This window comes from Homo sapiens, chromosome 5, assembly GCF_000001405.40.
Source record: "Homo sapiens chromosome 5, GRCh38.p14 Primary Assembly".
Classification (NCBI taxonomy): domain Eukaryota; kingdom Metazoa; phylum Chordata; class Mammalia; order Primates; family Hominidae; genus Homo; species Homo sapiens.
Genome location: NC_000005.10, coordinates 178911925 through 178934126, shown reverse-complemented (window position 1 = coordinate 178934126; position 22202 = coordinate 178911925). Strand labels below are relative to the sequence as shown.

The window sequence follows — 22202 nt, the reverse complement described above, 5'->3', positions numbered from 1 at the left end:
GAGTAGCTGGGACTACAAACATGTGCCACCATGCCTGGTTAATTTTTTGAAAACTTTTTGTAGAGACAAGGTCTCACTATGTTGCCCAGGCTGGTCTTGAGCTCTTGAGCTCAAACAGTCATCCTGCCTCAGCCTCCCAAAGTGCTGGGATTACAAGCATGAGCCACTTTGTCCAGCCTCAACATTTTGTTAACAGGTCAGATGGCTATGTCTGTTAGTGTTCAGCCCCCGTCTTTTCTTTTCTACTTTGATAGCCAGAATATGACACAAAGATATGTGATTCCTTTGTACTTACAGGACTATGTTATTTTCTAAATGATCATTTAACAACAGTTTAATAACTATTAATTGAGAACTCAAAACAGCATGCTATTGCATTAAGATTTGCATACTTGGCCGGGCACGGGGGCTCATGCCTGTAATCCCAGCACTTTGGGAGGCCGAGGTGGGTGGATCACGAGGTCAGGAGATTGAGACCATCCTGGCTAACATGGTGAAACCCCATCTCTATTAAAAATACAAAAAAATTAGCCAGGCATGGTGGCAGGCGCCTGTAGTCCCAGCTACTTGGGATGCTGAGGCAGGAGAATGGCATGAACCCAGGAGGTGGAGCTTGCAGTGAGCTGAGATCAAGCCACTGCACTCCAGCCTGGGCAAAAGAGCGAAACTCCATCTCAAAATAAATAAATAAATAAATAAATGAAAACATTTGCATACTTATTCCATTAATTTATGGAAACCAGCCTGTAGTTAGGGGACAAAATAACAATGCAGGGGAAGATTAGGGGCATGGAAGGGTACTAGGAATTCGTAAAGGTAAATCATTTTGACTAAAAGGATCCAAGGAAACCAGATTGTGGAACAAGAGCATCTAGACTGCATACAGACAGCATAAGATCGTAAAAGAACAAAGATTTCCCAGCATTCATTATATTTATAGAGTTGTAGCATTTTAGAGCTAACAGAGCTCCTACAAGATTTCTAACTCCAAAATCATTCATTTACCAAATAAAGAACCATAACCTGGTGGAAGTAGGCAAGTTGTCCAAGGCAGTGGCAGATTAGGACTACATACCAGGTCTCTGGGCTGTCCAGTTAAACACTCTCACATTTTTCTCTCCAGTGTAAAGTCTCTGATAGCCAAAGGAGAATGTGCGGTATGATATAACAGAACTTATCTTCAGCATGACTCTTCATTGTTTATATTAGCTATTTAAACCTTCTGATATAAAGGAAATTATACATTCTGAATCAAGATTTCTCTACTTTTAGATGGATTCTCTGCAGTGGTATTATCTGATATGACATATTGTACTTCAACTGAAAGATTCCCACAATCATTACATTTATTAGGTTTCTACATTGTATGTCTCATATGATTATTACTGAAGAGTTAATCATGAGGTAAGGGCCAGTGAAAACATTCCTCACGTATGAGTTCTTTGATGTCGTGTAAGGTTTGTACTCCGGCTGAAGGCTTTTCCGCATTCATTACACTGATAGGGTTTCTCTCCTGTATGAGTTCTCTGATGCACTGTAAGGGATGAATTCTTAATGAAGGCTTTTCCACACTGATCACATTCATAGGGTTTCTCACCAGTATGAATTCTTTGATGTTCAATAAGGTAAGCACTCTGGCTGAATGCCTTTCCACATTCATTGCACTCATAAGGTTTCTCTCCAGTGTGAATGACCTGATGCACGGTAAGGGATGATCGTCCAGTGAAATGTTTTCCACACACCATACACTCATAAGGTTTCTCTCCAGTGTGAATTCTCCGATGTTGAGTTAGAGATGAATTCTTACTGAAAGCTTTTCCACACTCGTTACATTCAAAAGGTTTTACTCCAGAATGAAGTCTCTGATGTTCTATAAGATATGTACTTTGGCTAAAGGATTTCCCGCATTTGTTACATTTGTAAGGTTTTTCTCCAGTGTGATTTCGCTGATGTAGGGTAAGAGTTGAGCTCTTACTAAAGGCTTTTCCACATTGACTACACTCATAGGGTTTTTCTCCAGTATGGCTTCTCTGATGTACAATAAGATGCATGCTTTGACTGAAGGCTTTTCCACATTCATTACATTCATAGGGTTTTTCTCCTGTATGAGTTCTCTGATGAACTGTCAAATTCATGCTTTGGGTAAAAGCTTTACCACATTCATTACATTTGTAGGGTTTCTCTCCAGTATGAATCCTTTCATGCTGAATAAGAGATGAATTCTTATGGAAGGCTTTGCCACACTCTTTACACTGATAGGGTTTCTCTCCGGTGTGAGTTCGTTGATGGACAGTAAGATTCATGCTCTGACTAAAGGCTTTCCCACATTCATTACATTTATAGGGTTTCTCTCCAGTATGAATTCTTTGATGTACAGTAAGGGAGGATCGTTCAATGAAGTGTTTCCCACATACATTACACTTATAGGGTTTCTCCCCAGTATGAATCCTCTGGTGCTTAAGAAGGGATGAGCTCTGACTGAAGGTTTTGCTGCACTGATTACATTCATAGATCTTCTTTCCTACAAACATTCTTTGAGTTTTAATTAACTCAGAATTTTGTGTGGCATCTTCTCCATGTGAATTACAGTTATGGGGCCTTTTTACCATAGGAATGCTTTGCTGTGTATCAAGGATTGAATCCTGACTGGAACATCTTTCAAATTCATTACCTCCACATACTCTCATCTCAGTGAAGGTTTCCTTATGGGTAACTCCCACTTGGCTCAGATGACTATCCTGTTGTCCCTCTAACCAATTATTAGGTTCCCAGGTTTCCCCTAGAGTAGAATGCCAGATACCTTCCCTTTCCATTGTTACCCCATGGCATAAATCTTCAGTAATACCCGGCTTCGGAGTTGGCTCTTTGGTTTCAAGTCTTGTCTCCCAGTCTGAAAAAAAAAAAAAATTCAAATGCACATTGGTTTCTGTGCTAGGAGACTGGAAACTGCATAAGGTAGGAATGAGAGAATTAAACTAGCTATCAACTAAAATAACTGCTGAGCACATTTGAGAGCTTTCAAACATGTACCCAAAATTAGGTAGAGAAATAGGAAGGGAGAGAAACAACAGTGAACTGATCCAAAGATAACAGGGGAACTGAAAGCAGGGGATGGCAGATGTACTGCATAAGCAGAGAAAAGAGTGAGCCCATTCAGGAGGGATGGACAGTGAAGGCACTGACCACTGGAGTAGGCTACATAATGAAGATGGAACTAAGGAAACACATGCAGAAGAGCTGGGATTGGGAAAGGCAGATCAGGAAACCCTGCACACTGTACCTGGTATTCCTGCCAGAAGTTTCTTTCCTCCTACGAGGCCACCTAGAATCCTACACCAAATTAATCTTCCTAAAATGTCACAGTGTGACACAATGTAAAGATTGCTGACTCAAAGTCAGACAAACTTGGATTCAAACCGTGGCTCTTAACACCATCTTAACTAGTTACTTGTCTCACTGGCTCTGAGGGTCACAGATATAAAATGAGGATTAAGAAATATGGTCAAGCCCGGGTGTGGTGGCTCATGGCCGTAATCTCAGCACTTTGAGAGGCCAAGGCAGGCGGATCACTTGAGGTCAGGAGTTCAAGACCAGCCTGGCCAAAATGGTGGAATCCCATCTCTACTAAATACACAAAAATTAGCTGGGCATGGTGGCAGGCGCCTGTAGTCTTAGCTACTTGGGAGGCTGGGATGGGAGAGTTGCTTGAACCCAGGAGGTGGAGGTTGCAGTGAGCTGAGGTAGTACCACTGCACTCCAGCCTGGGTGACAGAGTGAGACTCTGTCTCAAAAAAAAAAAAAAAAAAAAAAAAGGAAAGGGAAAAAAAAAGAAAGAAATATGATATAGGAAGTAAATAAAATGAAATATGATAGGAAGTAAGTAACATAATCTAGGTGGTATAGTTTGGATGTGTGTCCCCACCCAAATTTCATATTGAAATGTAATCCCCAGTGTTGGAGGTGGGGCCTTATGGGAGATGATTGGATCATGGGAGTGGTTTCTTATGAATGGTTTAACACCATCCCCCTTGGTACTGTCCTCCCTATCATGAGTGAGTTCTTGTGAGATGTGGTTATTTACAAGTGTGTAACACCTCCCTCCTCACTCTTGCTCTTGCCATTTGATGTGCCTGCTCCCCTCTCACCTACTGCCATGACTGTAAGCCTCCTGAGCCCCCCCCCCCACCGTCAAGCAGATGCTGGCACTATGCCTCTTGTACAGGAACTGTGAGCCAATTACACCTCTTTTCTTATAAATCACCCAGTCTGAGGTATTTCTTCATAACAATGTGAGAATTGAGTAATACAGAAAATTGGTACGGGGAAGTGGAGAATTTCTATAAAGATACCTGAAAATGTGGAGGTGACTTTGGAATAACTGGGTAACAGGCAAAGGATGGAAGAGTTTGGAAGACCCAGAAGAAGATAGGAAGATAAGAGAGAGTTTGGAACATCTTAGAAACTGGTTAAATGGTTATGACCAAAATGCTGATAGTGATATGGACAGTGAAGTCTTGGTTAAGGTCTCAGATGGAAATGAGGAACTTACTGGGAACTGCAGCAAAGGTCATTTTTGCTATGCTTTAGCAAAGACCTTGGCTGTACTGTGCCCCTGCCCTAGGGATCTGTGGAACTTTGAACTTGAGAGAATGGTGATTGAGGGCATCTGGTGGACGAAATTTCTAAGCAGCAAAGCACACAAGAGGTGGGTTGTCTGCTAACAATCTATGCTCAGATGTGAGAACAAAGAAATGACTTAAAACTGGAACTGGTATTTAAAAGGGAGTAAGTGGAACATTTGCAGCCTGGCCATGTGGTAGAAAAGAAAAGCCCATTTTCAGGGAAGGAATTCAAGCAGGCTGCAGAAATTTGCATGAGTAAAAAGGACCCAAGTACTAGTAAGCCAAGACAATGGGGAAAAGGCCTCAAAGGCATTTCAGAGACCTTCACAGCAGCCCCTTCCACCAGAGGCCTAGGATGACTGAATGGTTTCCTGGGCCAGGCCCAGGGCCCGGTGCCCTGCACAGCCTTGGGACACTGCTCCCTGCATCCCAGCTACTCCAGATCCACCCACGGCTGAAAGGGGCCAGGTTACAGCTCAGGCTGCTGCTTCAGAGGGTGCAAGCTGTAAGCCTTGGCAGCTTTGATATGGTATATAAAGCCTGTGGGTATACACAGTTGAACAGTTAAGGCTTGGGAAACTCTATCTAGATTTCAGAGGATGTATAGAAAAGCCTAGGTGTCCAGGTAGAAGCCTGCTGCAGGGGCAGAGGCCACACAGAGAACCTATACTAGGGCAGTGCAGAGGAGAAATGTGGCATTGGAGCCGCCATGTAGAATCCCCACTGGGGCACTGCCTGTGAGAAGAGGGCCACTGCCCTCCAGACTCCAGAATGTAAGATGCACTGGCAGTTTGCACCCTGCATGTGGAAAAGCCAGAGACATTCAACTACAACCCATGAGAGCACTGCAGGGACTGAACACTGCAAAGCCATGTGGGCAGATCTGCCCAAGGCCTAGGGACTCCACCCCTCGCAGCAGAGTGCCCTGGATATGAGATACAGAGTCAAAGAAAATAATTTTGAAGCTTTAAGATTTAATGACTGCCCTGATGGTTTCTGGACTTTCATGGGGCCTATAGCCCCTTTCTTTTGGCAGAGAGTTCTCCCTTTTGGAACAGGAGTGTTGACCCAATGCCTATACCCCCAGTATATCTTGGAGGTAACTAACTTGTCTTTTATTTTATAGGCTCATAGGTAGAAGGGACTTGCCTTGTCTAAGATGAGACTGTGGACTTTTGAGTTAATGTTGGAACGAGTTAAGACTTTAGGGATTAGTGGAAAGGCAAGATTGTATTTTGAAATGTGAGAAAGACATAAGATTGGGAGGGGCCAGGGGCAGAATGATATGATTTCATTTGGATGTGTGTCCCCACCCAAATCTCATATTGAAATGTAATCCCCAGTGTTGGAGGTTGGGCCTTATGGGAGGTGACTGGATCATGGGAGTGGTTTCTTATGAATGGTTTAGCACCCTCCCTCTTGGTACTGTCCTCCCTATCATGAGTGAGTTCTCATGAGATCTGGCCACTTAAAAGTGTGTAGCACCTCCCCCTGCCACTCTCTCTTGCTCCTGGTTTTATCATTTGATATGCCTGCTCCCCTTTTGCCCTCCACTATGACTGTAAGCCTCCTGAGGCTTCCCTACAAGCAGATGCTGGCACTAATGCTTCCCGTACAGCCTGTAGAACCATAAGCCAATTAAACTTTTCTTATAAATTACCCAGACTCAGCCAGGCTTGGTGGCTCACGGCTGTAATCCCAGCGCTTTGGGAGGCTGAGGTGGGCAGAATCACCCGAGGTCAGGAGTTCGAGACTAGCCTGGCCAACATAGCAAAACCCCATCTCTACTAAAACACACACACACACACACACACACACACACACACACACACACACACACATTGGCCAGGTATGATGGTGTGCACCTGTAATCCCAGCTACTGAGGAGGCTGAGGCAGGAGAATCACTTGAACCCGGGAGGTGGAGGTTGCAGTGAGCTGAGATTGTGCCATCACACTCCAGCCTGGGCGACAAGAGCGAAACTCCGTCTCAAAAAAAAAAAACCCCAAAAATAAATAAATGAATAAATTACCTAGTCTCAGGTGTTTCTTTATAGCAATGTGAGAACAGACTAACACAGTATGTAAACTACCCTTTGAGAATATACTCCTCTGGAACATAAAGTACCAGAACATACATGAAACTTAAACTCTTAAAGGAGGATGACACAATCTAGAGGTTTCTTCCCCTTAAACTTTAAGCAGGCTGTAATTTATTCACAGGGGTAAGACAGTCCTAAGGGATACTACCATTTCCTAAATACGCATTCCTTAAAGATGAGAACTGGTGGTAGGGACAGGCCAGGGGATCTGCTAAACTGTTTGAGAGGAGGCTGGAAAAGGACCTTGTAGCTACTCAGACTTGAATTTTCTTAGATCCTATTTCTTATCCCAGACAAAATAAGGGGTAGAGGACTGGCACTGCAACCTGAGAATCAGCTTTCCGATTGCTGATCGAAGTCAACAGAGAGAGATCAACACTGAACAAACAAACCAAGGCCTATGGGCACAGGCTTTCCTGTGAAGCAAGAAATAAGCATTAACCAGGCCTCTTTCTTCCAACCTGATCTGCTTAAGTGAAAAGAGAGAAAAAGTGGAAAGACAACCAGGCTCCACTTCCAAAACACATACAACCAAGTAACCCCAAACAGAGGAACTGTCAAACTGAGTATGAAAATACCAGCAGGTGGCCGGGCGTGGTGGCTGACACCTGTAATCCCAGAACTCTGGGAGGCCGAGGTGGACGGATCACCAGGTCAGGAGATCTAGACCATCCTGGCTAACACGGTGAAACCCTGTCTCTACTAAAAAATACAAAAAAATTAGCCGGGCATGGTGGCACACACCTGTAGTCCCAGCTACTCAGGAGGCTGAGGCAGGAGAATGGCGTGAACCTGGGAGGCGGAGCTTGCAGTGAGTCGAGATCGTGCCACTGCACTCCAGCCTGGGCGACACAGCGAGACTCCATCTCAAAAAAAAAAAGAAAATACCAGCAGGTGACATGTGAATTGGCAGCTCCCTGTTGCCTCACCTCTGTACAGGGGTCAGCCAGCCAACTCAAGTTCTTTGGGAACATTTAAGGTGCTATGTATTAAACAACATAACAAGCAAAGGAGAATCCATTTACACTATTAGACAAATACAAAGTCCAGACAGAACTGCTTCTATCCAAAGATAAATTATACACAGAAAATATTAAGTTTGGAAACTATGAAGAAGTTCAGGAAATAAATTTTAAAAATAATTAAAACAGAGAATGAGAAGAAAAAAGAAGTATAAAGACCAAAAGAAGAAAGAAAAATGTTGGGAGAAAATTAAGTGCTTCTAGTCATCAAAAGACATCATAAAAAAAGATAAAAAGCTGAGTGCAGTGGCTCGCGCCTGTAATCCCAGCACTTTAGGAGGTTGATGTGGGAGGATTTCTTGAGACCAGGAATTTTAAATCACCTAGGGCAACATAGTGAGAGCCCATCTCTACAAATAATTCAAAAACTACCAGATCATGGTGGCGCACACATGTGGTCTCAGCTACTCGGAGGCTGAGGTGGGAGGATCGCCTGAGCCCGGGAGTTCAAGTCTGCAGTGAGCCGTGATCATGCTACTGCACTTCAGCCTGGGAGACAGAGCAAGATCCTGTCTCAAAATATAAAAATAAAAATAAAAGCTAAAAAAATAGAAACTACCTACTGGGAGAAGATATTTGCAACACATGACCCACAAAAAACTAGAATGGAGACTTGGAAAATAATGCTTATGAAACACCAAGCCCACTAGAAAAATGGGCAAAAGACTTGAATAAGCACTTAAGGAAAGGAAGCCTGAATGGTCTGCAAACGTAAGCAAAGATGCCCAATCTCAACAGTAACCAAGGGAAAGCCGATTAAAGCCGCAACAAGATGCCATTACCACATCCGCCCAAGTAACAAAATGTAAAAATTCAAACTGACAGCTTCAGATTTTGGAAAGATGCAATAGTGGGAACTTCCACATACTCCTGGTGGAAATCCAATCTGATTCAAGCATTGGAAAAATAGTTTAGTACAGCCTAGAGCAAGCACATGGGCTGATACAGCAAGTCTACCACTAGGTGCATGCACTTAGTAACTCCACTAGTAACTCCACCTTGCAACAGTGTGAGAATTCATGATTCTTCACACAGCACTGTGTACAACAGCAAAAACTGGAAACATCACAAATGCCCATCATCAAAAAATGGATAACAAGATCGTCAAGTGTTCATACAATGGAGTAACTGACAACAGTGAGCATTAATAAACTAAAGCTACACATATCAATATGAATGAATAAGCAAAGGCACATAATATATATGTATATGTATATATGTGTATATATATGTGTGTGTGTGTGTGTGTGTGTGTATATATATATATATATATAAAGATTCAATTTAAAGTTTTAAAACAGACCAAAACCAGATATATTGTTTAGAGATTCAATGATAAATGGCAATAGTATAAAGAGAGGGAAAGGAGGTATCACAGAAGTCAGAATACTGGTTATATCTTGGGTAGAGAGAGGTAAGAGGATGTGAATGAGGAGATGCACACAAAGCATTTCCATGGCACTAGCAATGTTCTGTTTCTTGATCTGGGCTCTGGTAACTGGATATCTGCCTTATTATTATTATTATTATTTTGAGATGGAGTTTTGCTCTTGTCGCCCAGGGTGTAGTGCAATGGCGCAATCTCGGCTTACTGCTACCTCCGCCTCCTGGGTTCAGGTGATTCTCCTGCCTCAGTCTCCCAAGTAGCTGGGACTACAGGGACTACAGGCATGTACCACCATGCCTGGCTAATTTTGTCTTTTTAGTAGAGATGGGGTTTCACCATGTTGGCCAGGCTGATCTTGAACTCCTGACCTCAGGTGATCCACCCACCTTGGCCTCCCAAAGTGCTGGGATTACTGGTGGGAGCCCCTGTGCCTGGCCTGCTTTCTTTTTTCTTCATTTGTCTTTATCATTATTAACTAAAAAGAGAAGCAGAAGGGCACAGTGGTTACGATAACACTAAGATGAAACTTCGGACTTTTGAGTTAATGAACTCAAAATGAACTCTGGAGCTCCACCACTATTAGCTGTGTGACCTTGGGCAGGTTTCTTTTTTTTTTTTTTTTGAGACAGAGTCTCTCTCTGTCATGCAGGCTGGAGTGCAGTGGAGCGATCTCGGCTCACTGCAAGCTCCACCTCCTGGGTTCACGCCATTCTCCTGCCTCAGCCTCCCGAGTAGCTGGGACTATAGGTGCCCGCCACCATGCCCGGCTAATTTTTTGTGGTTTTAGTACAGACGGGGTTTCACCGTGTTAGCCAAGATGGTCTCGATCTCCTGACCTCGTGATCCGCCCGCCTCGGCCTCAAAAAGTGCTGGGATTACAGGCATGAGCCACCACACCTTGCGTAGGTTTCTTAACCTCTCTGTGCTCTATTGTCCAAATTTGTTAAATGGTACCTATCTTATAGTGCTGATATAAGAACAAAAGTTAGTTAATAAAGGGCTTAGAAGAGTATGTAGGTTTTTGTTGAACAGTCAGATTTTACACATTCTTCTGTGTATGTATTTCAAAAATCAAATTACAAAAAGAACAAAGTATTTGCTATTCTGGAAAATATTAATCATTTTAAGTTCAAACATATTTTTGTACTACAGAAAACTTAATAGTAGGATTCAGTATACCTTCATGGAATTTAGACTTAAAAGTTAGTTCTGAGGAGTTGATGCTTACGAAAGAAAAAAAAAAAAAGATTACCTACAAATTTTTAAAAAACTGGCAGAAGAGATTTTCTCAGGAACACAGGATGCCGAAAGACAATGGGGCCATGCCTGCAAGAACTGATGTGACTCAAGAACTCCACATGGTCAGCACTCCACACATGTGCAGAGAAAGGCAAAACACAGTCTTAAATATGAAGATTCAGTAATAACAGTACTCCTAAACCATTTCTGCTATTATTTAAATATTCAATTTGAATAAAAAATAAACATGAATGGGGAAGTTAGTTTGGGTATAAAAAGACTGGCAGTGACATGCTGAATCCACTTCAAGGATGAACCTCGAAGATATTATGCTAAGTGAAATAAGCCAGTCACGAAAAGACAAATATTGCATGATTCAACTCATATGAGGTATCTAGAGTAGTCAAATTCATAGAGGCAGAAAGCGGAGGTTACCAGGGGCTGGCGGAAGCGGGGAATGGGATGCTATTGCTTAAAGGATATAGAGTTTTCATTAGGAAAGATGAAAAAGTTCTGGAGACGGATGGCGGTGCTGGTTCCACAACAATGTGAATGTATTTAAATGCCTCCAAATGATACACTAAAAATGGCTAAAATGGCAAATTTTATGTTACGTATATTGTACACATATACACACAAACACAAAACATTACAATTAAAAAAAGACACCTAAAGAATTACATTTCAACTATCTGGGAAATCCTCATGTTTGAAAATTAAGCAGTGAATTTGTAAATTCTGAGAGGTCAAAGAGGAAATCACAATGGAATGAGATAATATTTTATGTGTTACAACCAAAGCAATGCTTAGAGGAAATTATATAGCTTTCAATATTTTTTTTTCTATTATAAATACTTTATTTCAACTAGAAGGTACAATCTCTCAGGGGTTTCATAGTTTAAAAAGCTACAATCACATCATGTTGTAACTACATAAAAAACAGTGCTGTAAATGGAACTGCTTGGCTTTGACCACACACATTTCTGCACAGCCCTTACAGAATCTGCACAAAGAAATATCTCCCTTTGCTCCAGTTAATTGTTCTTGTATGTAAGTTGCTTTCTATTCCAGTATATCCAGAGTGGTGAAATAACAAGGCCAGCCACGTGGACAAAGGTCGCTCCAAGCGTACAGGAGATGGGCCATACCTGCCATGCTCTTGCCCTGTCAAGGAATAGGACGTGCTCCAAGCCATGCTCCTACAAAACTAGACATTGCAGTGATCTGGAGACTATTCTCCCATATGGATGTAACTCCATTTCTACTGAAAACTCTTAGCCATGCTTTGAGGTTTGGTCCTAACAAACATAAGTAAGGCACAATAGTAAAAGTAGACAAAATAACTGCAAATAAAAATGTTTCCAATGCCAACTCTATTAGTGGTGCTCCATATAGAACAAAAATTACATGAAAGGAGAAACAAGACATAAGAAAGTAGATACAGCATTTCAAAAATCTGGTTACCTTGTATGATAATGAACTTATTTTAGAGGATGTATTTGGTTTCACTACTAAATATAGTACTAGACTGACAGCAGTTACAAAACCAGAACAGACGCACAACCATGTCAAGTGTGTTTCCAATATTGAGGAGTTCTCCAAGAAGAGTGATGGAATGAAGACACTTAGGATAATTGAAAATATGCATAAAAGATGGGTATACAGTAGTCTCTTGATATCGGTATCTTTCATGATGTTTTCTTGGGTGGCTAGCTGACTCTCCTGCCTGCGGAAGGAGCTTTAAATGTTTTTACAGTAAATAAGAATGGCCCATAATCTGTGACCTATGTTTCCACCTTAAGAAGTTAGACAAAGATCAAATTAAAACCAAAGTAGAGGATCCTCTTCCTGATAAGGTGGAGTAGGCCTATTCCACCATGTCTCTTCCACTGATAAACCCGAACAGAAAGCATGAAGCAATTATTTGAAGGCCCTGAGAAGTAAACAGTAGCAGGTGAATTGGGGAAGAGAACCAAAATCCAAAGTACCACTGAACCAGTGGTGAGCTTCCTTTTTTTCCTCAGCTGTCTTCTGTACTAAACTTATACAGCCATCTGAAAACAGGCACTGAGGCAGGAGAAGGCAGAGGAGGTTCTCCAGGAAAAGCTCTAGGGCCGGTTCATGGAGCAGGAAAAGGACTTCTAATGCTTAGAGAGAGCAGGGGGAATTGCCTATTTTTTCCCCTTTCTCTGTTCTATTGCACCCCAGCACTTAAGCAATCCTCTGGTGGCTGCTGCAACAGCAGTGCCACTGCAAGCTGACAGGAGCTCAAAAACATGAGGAGAGGGTCCTTCTTCCCCAAGCAAGGGATCTGTGGTCCCAAGAAGGGTAGCAAGAAGCCCCACTTCATCATCTTTTCTTTGTCCTCCTGCTGCTTGGCTCTACATAGGGATGGTCACTGGAAGTCACAGCAGAGCGGGGCAACTACAGGCCCCTGCCTTGTAGCCAGAAGAGTCAAAAGGACAGCCACAGGGAAGCTGAAACTACTGCGGACATAGACAGGGGAGAATTCGGGAACATGACCTTGGAAGTTATTTAAGAACTCCTGGGCTCACCTGCGAGATACATATGCATGAATCTGACCCCCTAAGCAGCACACGTGGACTTTGAGAATAAGAGGGACCGCTGCTTAAATTCCATACTGGCCACAGAGTGACACACATGTGAGCAAGATTCAAGCAACAATGTGAAGTCTCTGACAACCAAACTGACACAGAAACCACAACCCACAGAAAGCTGGTTGGACTTTGTAGTCTGAGCTCAACCAGGTTGACTGCCTGCTAACACAGAAATATCAACATTTTCTGTTGGATTTCAAGAAGACATAGAGTTTTATAACATAATATTCTAAATGCCCATGATACCTTTTGAAGTCACTGAGAATATAAAGACCCAGGAACATTTCAACTTACATGGGAAAAGATAACCAACAGACATCAAGTGAGATGATACAATTATCTTACAAGGACTTTAAAGCATCTGCCTTACTTGTTCCAACAAGTCAGAGTGAACACACTCTAAAGAAATGGAAATAAAATCTCAGCAAAGAAAATGAGCATATAAAAAGAACTAAGTGGAAATTCTGGAAGTGAAAAATATACAATTTTTTTTTTTTTTTTGAGACGAAGTCTCACTCTGTTGCCCAAGCTGGAGTGCAGTGGCGCGATCTCGACTCACTGCAACCTCTACCTCCCGGGTTCAAGCGATTCTCCTGCCTCAGCCTCCTGAGTAGCTGGGACTACAGGTACACGCCACCATGCCCGGCTAATTTTTGTATTTTTAGGAAAGACGGGGTTTCACTATGTTGGCCAGGCTGGTCTTGAAATCCTAACCTCGTGACCCACCAGCCTTGGCCTCTCAAAGTGCTGGGATTACAGGTGTGAGCCACCACACCTAGCCCTACAGTATTTTTAATATATAAACACTTATTTATTGATATAGAAAATAGAAATCTTGCTAAATAGGTCCAACAGCAGAAGGGTGAAAAAAGGAAAGAATTAACTTGAAGACAGATTAAAAGAAATTATTCAATCTGAACAACACAGAGAGAAAAGATTGAGAAAAAATAAAGATGAAGAGCACCTCAGGGATGTATGGGACAACAACAAAAGATCTCATATATGTCTCACTGGAGTCCCAGAGAAGGAGAAAATGTTTGGTGCTGAAAAAGTATTTGAAGAAATCATGGTTAAAAGCTTATATTTGACAGAAGATTTCAACCTATAGGAACAGGGTAAACCCAAAGAAATCCACGCCCAGATGCATCATAATCAAATTTTTTTTTTTTTCTTTTGAGACAGAGTCCACTCTGTCGCCCAGGCTGAAGTGCAGTGGTACAACCTTGGCTCACTGCAACCTTCACCTCCTGGGTTCAAGCGATTCCCGTGCCTCCTCAGCCTCCCAAGTAGCTGGGACTACAGGCATGCACTACCACACCCAGGTAGTTTTGTATTTTTTGCAGAGAAAGGGTTTCGCCATGTTTTGCCCAGGCCAGTCTCAAACTCCTGGCCTCAAGTGATCCACCTGCCTTCACCTCCCAAAGTGCTGAGATTACAGGTGTGAACCACTATGCCCAGCCATAATTAAATTCTAAAAATGGAAGTAAAAAACAATCTTGAAAGCAACCAGGGAAAATTGATACACTACTTGGTGGCAGGGCAAAAATGTGAATAACTGAATTTCTCATCAGAAACCATGGATGCCAGAAGGAAGTGGATTAATTATTTCAAAGTGCTGAAAGAAATAACCATAAACCTAGAGTTCTATATTAGCAAAAATCTTTCAGGAATGAAGGTGAAATAAAGACATTCTCATATGAAAGAAAACTAAGAGAATTTGTCACCAGCAGACCCACCCTGTTAAGTCATTGTAATATCAGAGCCAGAACTCTTAATGTTTTTAAACAATGCTGGTTACTTAGACATCAAGAGTATAACTAGCACGAAGAAGGATTTATCCAGGAAATAAAGAATGGTTCACTATTAAGAATCTATTACTATCATATTAATAGGTCATAGGTCATATGATCAACCTGATAGATGGTTCAGAAGTATTCAACTGGTATCCTTCATCCATTCGTGTTCAAAAACAAAAATATTAGCATTGCACCAAGAATACAAATAAAGCCCTAGAAGAATTCTCTCTAATAACAGAACCAAGGAAAAGGTGCTTACTATTACTACTACTATTTAATGTTATTCCAGAAGTGTGACCAATATGGCCACTGAGATGGGGGGAAATTTTTAATTTTTCCCAGATTATATAACTGTCTACCTACAAAATGAAAAACGGTTAGGGGGGCTTTACTCAGAATTGATGGAGTATTGTGGGCTTGGAGCCTGAGCAGTATAGGTCAGAAACTGTAGCTCTTCCAGGATTAAACAATGTTTCAGATCCTTGACATTTTACTATCTCATTAAATAAGGACTTTATAAAGCACAAAGCATTATGCTTGGATGTAATAAGGATCCAGTGATTATTAGCTGTTATCATTACCATCATTACTATTTTACATTAAGCAACATACAGTTCTCTCTGCCTTTCCTTTTTTCCTAAACAAGACTTTTGAGTAATAATACTGGAAATACTCAATACTCCCTTAACGGCTTGGAATGCTTTTTCTGCCTTCACTCGTTAACTTATAGGATTTATATAACTCTGATACTCACCAGGACATGAACTAGAGTCTCCAGACCAAGGTGTCTGGTCTGTCACAGACCCCTTAGTACACACGGCTGGCACAAGCCATAGCAGAGGCTGGGAGCTTGCACAGTATGGGTGTGTGGGATGGGACTGGGCAGCAAGCAGGTCCCATGCTTCTTGAAAAGGGCAAGTTGATTTATTTATTTTCTCCTTTTATATTTCTTCCATCCTCTGGGTAACAGTTAGCTACTCCTAACACCCAACTAGACTATTTCTATACCCACCTGTCTGGATTTTCTATTTAAACTCTTGCTACCCTACAATGCATTCTCTCCATATAGCAGTCAAACTGGTTTTATGAACACGATAAATCATTCATTCAATAAATACTTATCAAGCCAGGTACTGTTCTGGGTGCTCAGGATATAGCAATAAACAGAAAAAATGTCTGCCCTTATGAAACATATTTTAGCAAGAGAAAGGGAGACAATAAGTAAGTGGTATACCTTACAGAAAAACAATAAAAGCATTTAAATGGATATAGGGAACATGATGGGTGAGAGAAAACGTCTGCAATTTTAAAGTGGGTCATAAGAAAAGGCCTCACTGAAAAGGTGACATTTAAACCAAGACTTTAAGGGACTAAGAGAGGAAGTCATAGGACTATCTAAGGGAAAGCTTCCCAGACAGGGTAACAGCCAGTGCTAAGGCCCTGAGGCAGCAGTGGGCCTGTCTTATTTAAGGAAGAATGAACTTTTTGAATACTTCTACATTCATTATAGTATTTTAGATCAGTTTTCCTAGTAACGAAAGCAAAGATATGTGTACGTATTAAACATCAGTGAGGCTCATGTGAGCATGCAGGCAGATAGAGACTCTTAACTATATAAATTCTCTGTGTATGTTTCTCTATATATGTACACATATATTTACATGGACAGACATACATATATGCAGAAGTAGTTATCCAGTACATCTCTGAAAATTTTTTTTTTTTTTGAGATGGAGTCTTGCTCTGTTGCCCAGGCTGGAGTGCAGTGGCATGATCTCGGCTTACTGCAACTTCCACCTCCCGGGTTCAAGTGATTCTCACGCTTCAGCCTCCTGAGTAGCTGGAATTATAGGTACGTGCCACCATACCTGGCTAATTTTTGTATTTTTAGTAGAGACGGGGTTTCACCATGTTGGCCAGACTGGTCTCGAACTCTTGACCTCAAGAGATCTGCCCGCCTCAGCCTCCCAAAATGCTGGGATTACAGGTGTGAGCCACGACGCCCGGCCACATTTTTAAAAATCATGTGTGAAACACAGACAGCAGGCTCCTATGTTTAGGGATGGTTAGGGTGGCTTCCTGGAGAGCTAAAAAGATTATAGAATCCCCAACTGTATTTTTACACATAATCTTTGATAGTACTTTATTCATGTTCTTAATTTTTATCTCCTTCATAACTGAATATGATTAAATGATTTAAATCTAATTGCTATTGATGAGAGGCTAAAAGACACTGCTTTCCACATTACTAAAAATTTCTATCTTTTCTCAAAATTAGTCAGTTTACAATGAAAATACTGGCACCAGGGACAGCACTTCTGGATTTGCAGTTTCTATTCATCTTTTGTAAAACAGGAGCAAAAATCTAACAATGCTTTCAACTGTACAAAGCTTTAGTACAGAGAAAAGAAATGATGCTGAAAAGAAAATTAGGCCAGGATACAGAAGTTTCTAGTTTTACTAAATATACTAGGAAATAACAACACAGCAGGGCAAGGGAAGAAAGCGAGAATTACCATTAAACTCAAAGTAAAAAACCAACAAAACAAAAGATATGTGTTCAGATTCTGACATGTTATTTCACCTTTCAGAGCCAATGTCTTCCACCGTAAGAGGAGTACCAGTACTTACCTATAGATGTTTTGTGTCAAGTAAGTGAGATGCTGGCTGTGGAAGAGCTGAGCACAGCACTCAGTCAATACTTTCTCCCCTTGACTGGGACAGGATAATGAGAGGACTAAATGTCAGATTAATCTGACAGCAATATCCAAGAAAATCTGGAAAGAACAAGATCTGGAGTTTGCAAATCATCATGTTCTATGGGCTCCTTTCCATTCAACTTTCGCCTATCTTTAGTTTCTCCCACTGCAATGGACACCTCTCTGCTCTTTCAGATACACTCAAGTCTTTTCCTTGTTAAAAAACAAACCACAGGCTTCTTCTGAGTTCTTACTCTTTCTTCCTTTTCCTTAGAAGCTGGCCTTGTTGAAACGACAGTCTGTACTTAAAAGTCTTCACTTGCTTGCTTCCTCTTCACTTTTCTGCCCACAGCGTATTTCTCTCAGCACTAAATGGGCTCTTCCCTGGGTCCCAGGCCACTCCCTCATCACCAAATCCAACAGGCATTTTCATTCCCTACTTGGCACTGTCATACTCTACCTTGACTCTCCTCTCTCCCTTCGACCATGTTCTCCTGCTGGGCCCTCTCCTCCTCCTTGGACCACTCACCTTCACCAGAGCATCCTTGGCCCCCTCACTATGTTATTGTCCTGAGGGTCCCACCTTTGCTGTTTTGCCCTGCCCACTCATTCATTCATCCCAATAATTATCCAATCTGTATTGATATGAATTTCATAAATTCAAATTTATATTTTCACCAGATTTATGAAAATTCTAATTGATGTCATTAAATATTCACTCAACAAATATTTAAGTACTTACTCCAGCAAGCAATGTCATAGTCAGGGAATGTAAAGAAAAACATGTTCAATGACAATTCGGTGAGCCTACATATTAGTGGGTATTGCTCCGCTGCCCAGGCTGGAGTGCAGTGGCACAATCTCAGCTTACCGCAACCTCAGCCTCCCGGGTTGAAGTGATTCTTGCACCTCAGCCTCCCGAGTAGCTGGGATTACAGGTGCACGCAACCATGCCCGGCTAAAGACAGACAGACATGGAAAATGATGAGCAAAATACAGTGTCACATGCAGTAAAAAAAAAAACAAGTGAGCTGGGTGCCATGGCTCACGCCTATAATCCTAGCACTTTGGGAGGCTGAGGTGGGCAGACTGCCTGAGCTCAGGAGTTTGAGACCAGCCTGGACAACACAGTGAAACCCTGTCTCTACTAAAATGCAAAAAATTAGCCGGGCACGGCAGTGTGCACCTGTAGTCCCAGCTACTCAGGAGGCTGAGGCAGAAGAATTGCTTGAACCTGGAAGGCGGAGGTTGCAGTGAGCCAAGACTGCACCACTGCACTCCAGCCTGACTCCATCTCAAAAAAAAAAAAAAAAAAAAAAAGAAAGAAAAACCTTTAGGTTCTAACCCAGTAGGGAAGCACGAATGGGGTAAAGAAGTGGGAGATGAAAACACAGTATCAAAATATATGTGTTTGCTTCTGCTGCTTCCAGAAAACCCACCAGAATGACAATAAGCAATGAAAATGGCATCAATAAAATAATCTAGGGAGCAAGGAAAAAACTGCTGCACATACATACCAGAAAACCAGAAACAAAAACAATGAAATACTCCCAAACAGATGAGTGAAGTTAGTGTATGCGTTAGAAAGACTGCTATTTAAGAAGAACATTCAGACAATGAGTGGCTCACAGAAATTTAAAAAATGATAGTACAAATAGATCTTTTTACAGAAGGACTGAAACGTAAGGTTTACAGAAATCTTCGTATCTGCTAGCACACTCCCCTTCAAACAATGCCACACAATCTCCTACCTCAGGGCCTTCGCACCTGCTGTTCCCTATGTCCTCAATGTTCTCCCATGTGGCCCATCACTTTGAGTATTTGCTCAAAAGTCTCATTAAAGGAGAAGCCCTCCCTGTAAAATCACACTCCTGTTAACTAATGTCATTCTCTTATGCTGCTTTATTTTTCCACACCGCACCTATCACTGTGTTATATTCATTTCCTCCCTTCCTGCCTCCTTTCCTTTCCCTTCTGTCCCCCCCTCCCTTCTTCCTTTATTGTCTCCCCATTAGAATATAAGCTCCTCAAAAACACTTTGCCTGCTGTGCTTATTGCTGTAGTCCCAGTGCTAAGAATAGTACTCAATAGATATTTGTTGAATAAATAGGTTATTTACATAAGAATACAAATATCAATAGTAATAAAATCCATAGAAATCTGTAATAAAAGTAATTAACACTACCTTTCATTTTATACCAAAGAAATTATCATTAAACACAAAATAGTATCTAAAGCAGTGCAATATGTAGCAAGACCATAAAAAATGGATATATCCTTTGACCCAGTGATTCCTCTCCCAGAATCCCATTCTTTAAAAAAACTTGTGGGAAACCAGCAGTGATGGTTACAGGCAATGTTTTTCCTATAATTGTGTTCCTTTAATGATTTCTTTCATTGTTTTATCTTAGATAGCTTTATATTATCTAGAGATTAAATATTTGCCTATCTCTTTAATTTAAAAAAAATATACAAAGAAATGATTAGGGCCAGGCACGGTGGCTCACGCCTGTAATCTCAGCACTTTGGGAGGCCAAGGCAGGCGGATCACGAGGTCAGGAGATCGAGACCATCCTGGCTAACACAGTGAAACCCCGTCTCTACTAAAAGTACAAAAAATTAGCTGGGCGTGGTGGCGGGCACCTGTAGTCCCAGCTACTCCGGAGGCTGAGGCAGGAGAATGGTGTGAACCCGGGAGGCGGAGCTTGCAGTGAGCTGAGATTGTGCCACTGCACTCCAGCCTGGGTGACACAGCGAGACTCCATCTCAAAAAAAAAAAAAAAAGAAAAAAAAAGAAATGATTGGTACTTTTGCACATGGTAGAGAAGATAAAGATGTAAAATGCATTTTTTTTTTTTGCAGAGAAAAGTCAGTAATAACACCTAAAACAGAAATTTCAGTTGTGATAAGGATTAGAAACCAGATAACAAAGATAAAGGAGCATTCAACATTTTGAGGTAAATGGCATTGAATGGGTAGTAATGCAGATTAGAATTTTGGGAATGAGAAAGAAAATATACACAATGTAAGGCTGCTAGAAATGAAAACAAGGCTAACATCATTTTTCATGTTTTTAAATGAAGACTGTCTAAAACTCTCTCACACAATGCAGAGGAAGAGAAATGTTAGTTTCCTTTGAAGGAGAAAAAGCTTACAAATATTTACATGAATGACAGAAAGGAAGCTATGGATATACGTTATGGTTGAGAGGAAACACTCATGAAAGACAGTAAAAGCCCAGAGAAGATGCGTAAAGACAGGGTTTCAATTCAGAATGCAGAGGAAGACAGAAGAGGACATAGTGGTTGCTAACATTTACCAAATGCTCAGTATGTTCCACGCAGTGGGTAAGTGCCATAAATGTAAAAACTCATTTACTCCTCATAATCCACCACCTCCCTGCAAGATGACATAAGTGAGCCCTAGAGAAAAGAGGCCCATCAGTAATGCGGAGGTGTCATCTGAGAACACACATCCAGTGGCCCTAGTCTCTCCAGAGACCCAACAATCTCTGAAGTGATTTTCCCCAAAGACACACTCATTTAACAAGTCTGCACAGCCTGGCACTTACCTCGAAAGCCACCCTCAGGCGGTTCTTTTTGCATCAGACTCAGTTCTCGTTCCAGCTGGGAAGTCCCATTGGGTTTGGAAAGGTGATTTCCTGCTTAAGAGGAGAGACATTAAATTTGGGTTCTGAACTGAGCCTAAAAACCAATCCTAGCAGAGTTCTGATCATTTCTCCTTCAGGGCTTCTGAAACAAGGAAGGTGTGGCTTATGAAGTTCCCCATTTTCCATTCTCTACAGAAAATTTCAATCTTCTGCCTTGAAAGAGAGGACACCAAGCAAACACCCTAAAACAATGCCTTATGATCAGGCCTTATGATTGTCAAGAGGTGGGTTTTGAGTTACAAGAAGTCCTTACCCAGTGAGACCGGGTTCCTGTAGTTCTCCAGCATCACCTCCCCATACACGGTCATCCTCTGAGCAGAATCTGCTTGAATCCACTCTTCCCAAGAGAAATCTATGGACACATCCTTGAAGGTCACTGACTCCTGAAACTAAAAATTCCTCAATAAGGGATTATGCCAACCAAACCCTCTGAGGGGAGTGAAAATCCCAGCAGCACTGAAAGGACAAAGATCTGCCTGAGAAAACATGCTGCCCTCCAGATGGAAGAAAATGTCTGCCACCAATCACGAAATAACCAGAGACATAATATAAAAAGTGTTTTGGGAGGTAAGGACAGGAAGAGTAGGTATAAGTGAGAAATAAGGAAAGGCACTAAAGGCGGCTCTAGATTCCCATGGGAGAGGAAGGAGTGGTGTTGTGATCACCTCCTATTCACCTCATTGGTGAAGGAAGGAATCCCTGCCCCAAATGGTACATGATGACCAAACACAGGACACTTGACACTCAACAGATGAGGTCGATAGCAATTTATCAGCCACATACAGTCACAGCCCAGCCCTCGTTCTTTTCTTTTCTTTTCTTTCTCTTTCCTATTTTTTTGAGACCGAGTCTTGCTCTGTAGCCGAGGCTGGAGTGCAGTGGCACGTTCTCGGCTTACTGCAACCTCCACTTCCTGGATTCAAGAAATTCTTCTGCCTCAGCCTCCCGAGTAGCTGGGATTACAGGTGCCCACCACGCCTGGCTAATTTTTGTAATTTTAGTAGAGATGGAGTTTCACCATGTTGGTCAGGCTGGTCTCAAACTCCTG

General features: G+C 41.8%; 1 protein-coding gene and 1 pseudogene across 1 annotated transcript in view; both read right to left on the bottom strand.

Moving 5' to 3' along the window:
- Positions 1 to 914: 914 nt before the first annotated feature.
- Positions 915 to 22202, bottom strand: part of ZFP2 (ZFP2 zinc finger protein) — a 37300-nt gene continuing 16012 nt past the window's right edge. The window contains exons 2-5 of the mRNA NM_030613.4: positions 21408 to 21543; positions 21056 to 21145; positions 17417 to 17562; positions 915 to 2890 (exon numbers count right to left, since the gene is read on the bottom strand). Of these exons, the coding sequence (NP_085116.2) occupies positions 1428 to 2813 (1386 nt within the window). The 5' untranslated portion in view covers positions 2814 to 2890; positions 17417 to 17562; positions 21056 to 21145; positions 21408 to 21543 and the 3' untranslated portion in view covers positions 915 to 1427. The remainder of the gene's footprint in view (positions 2891 to 17416; positions 17563 to 21055; positions 21146 to 21407; positions 21544 to 22202) is intronic.
- PIGFP1 (phosphatidylinositol glycan anchor biosynthesis class F pseudogene 1) lies at positions 11213 to 12107 on the bottom strand (annotated as a pseudogene).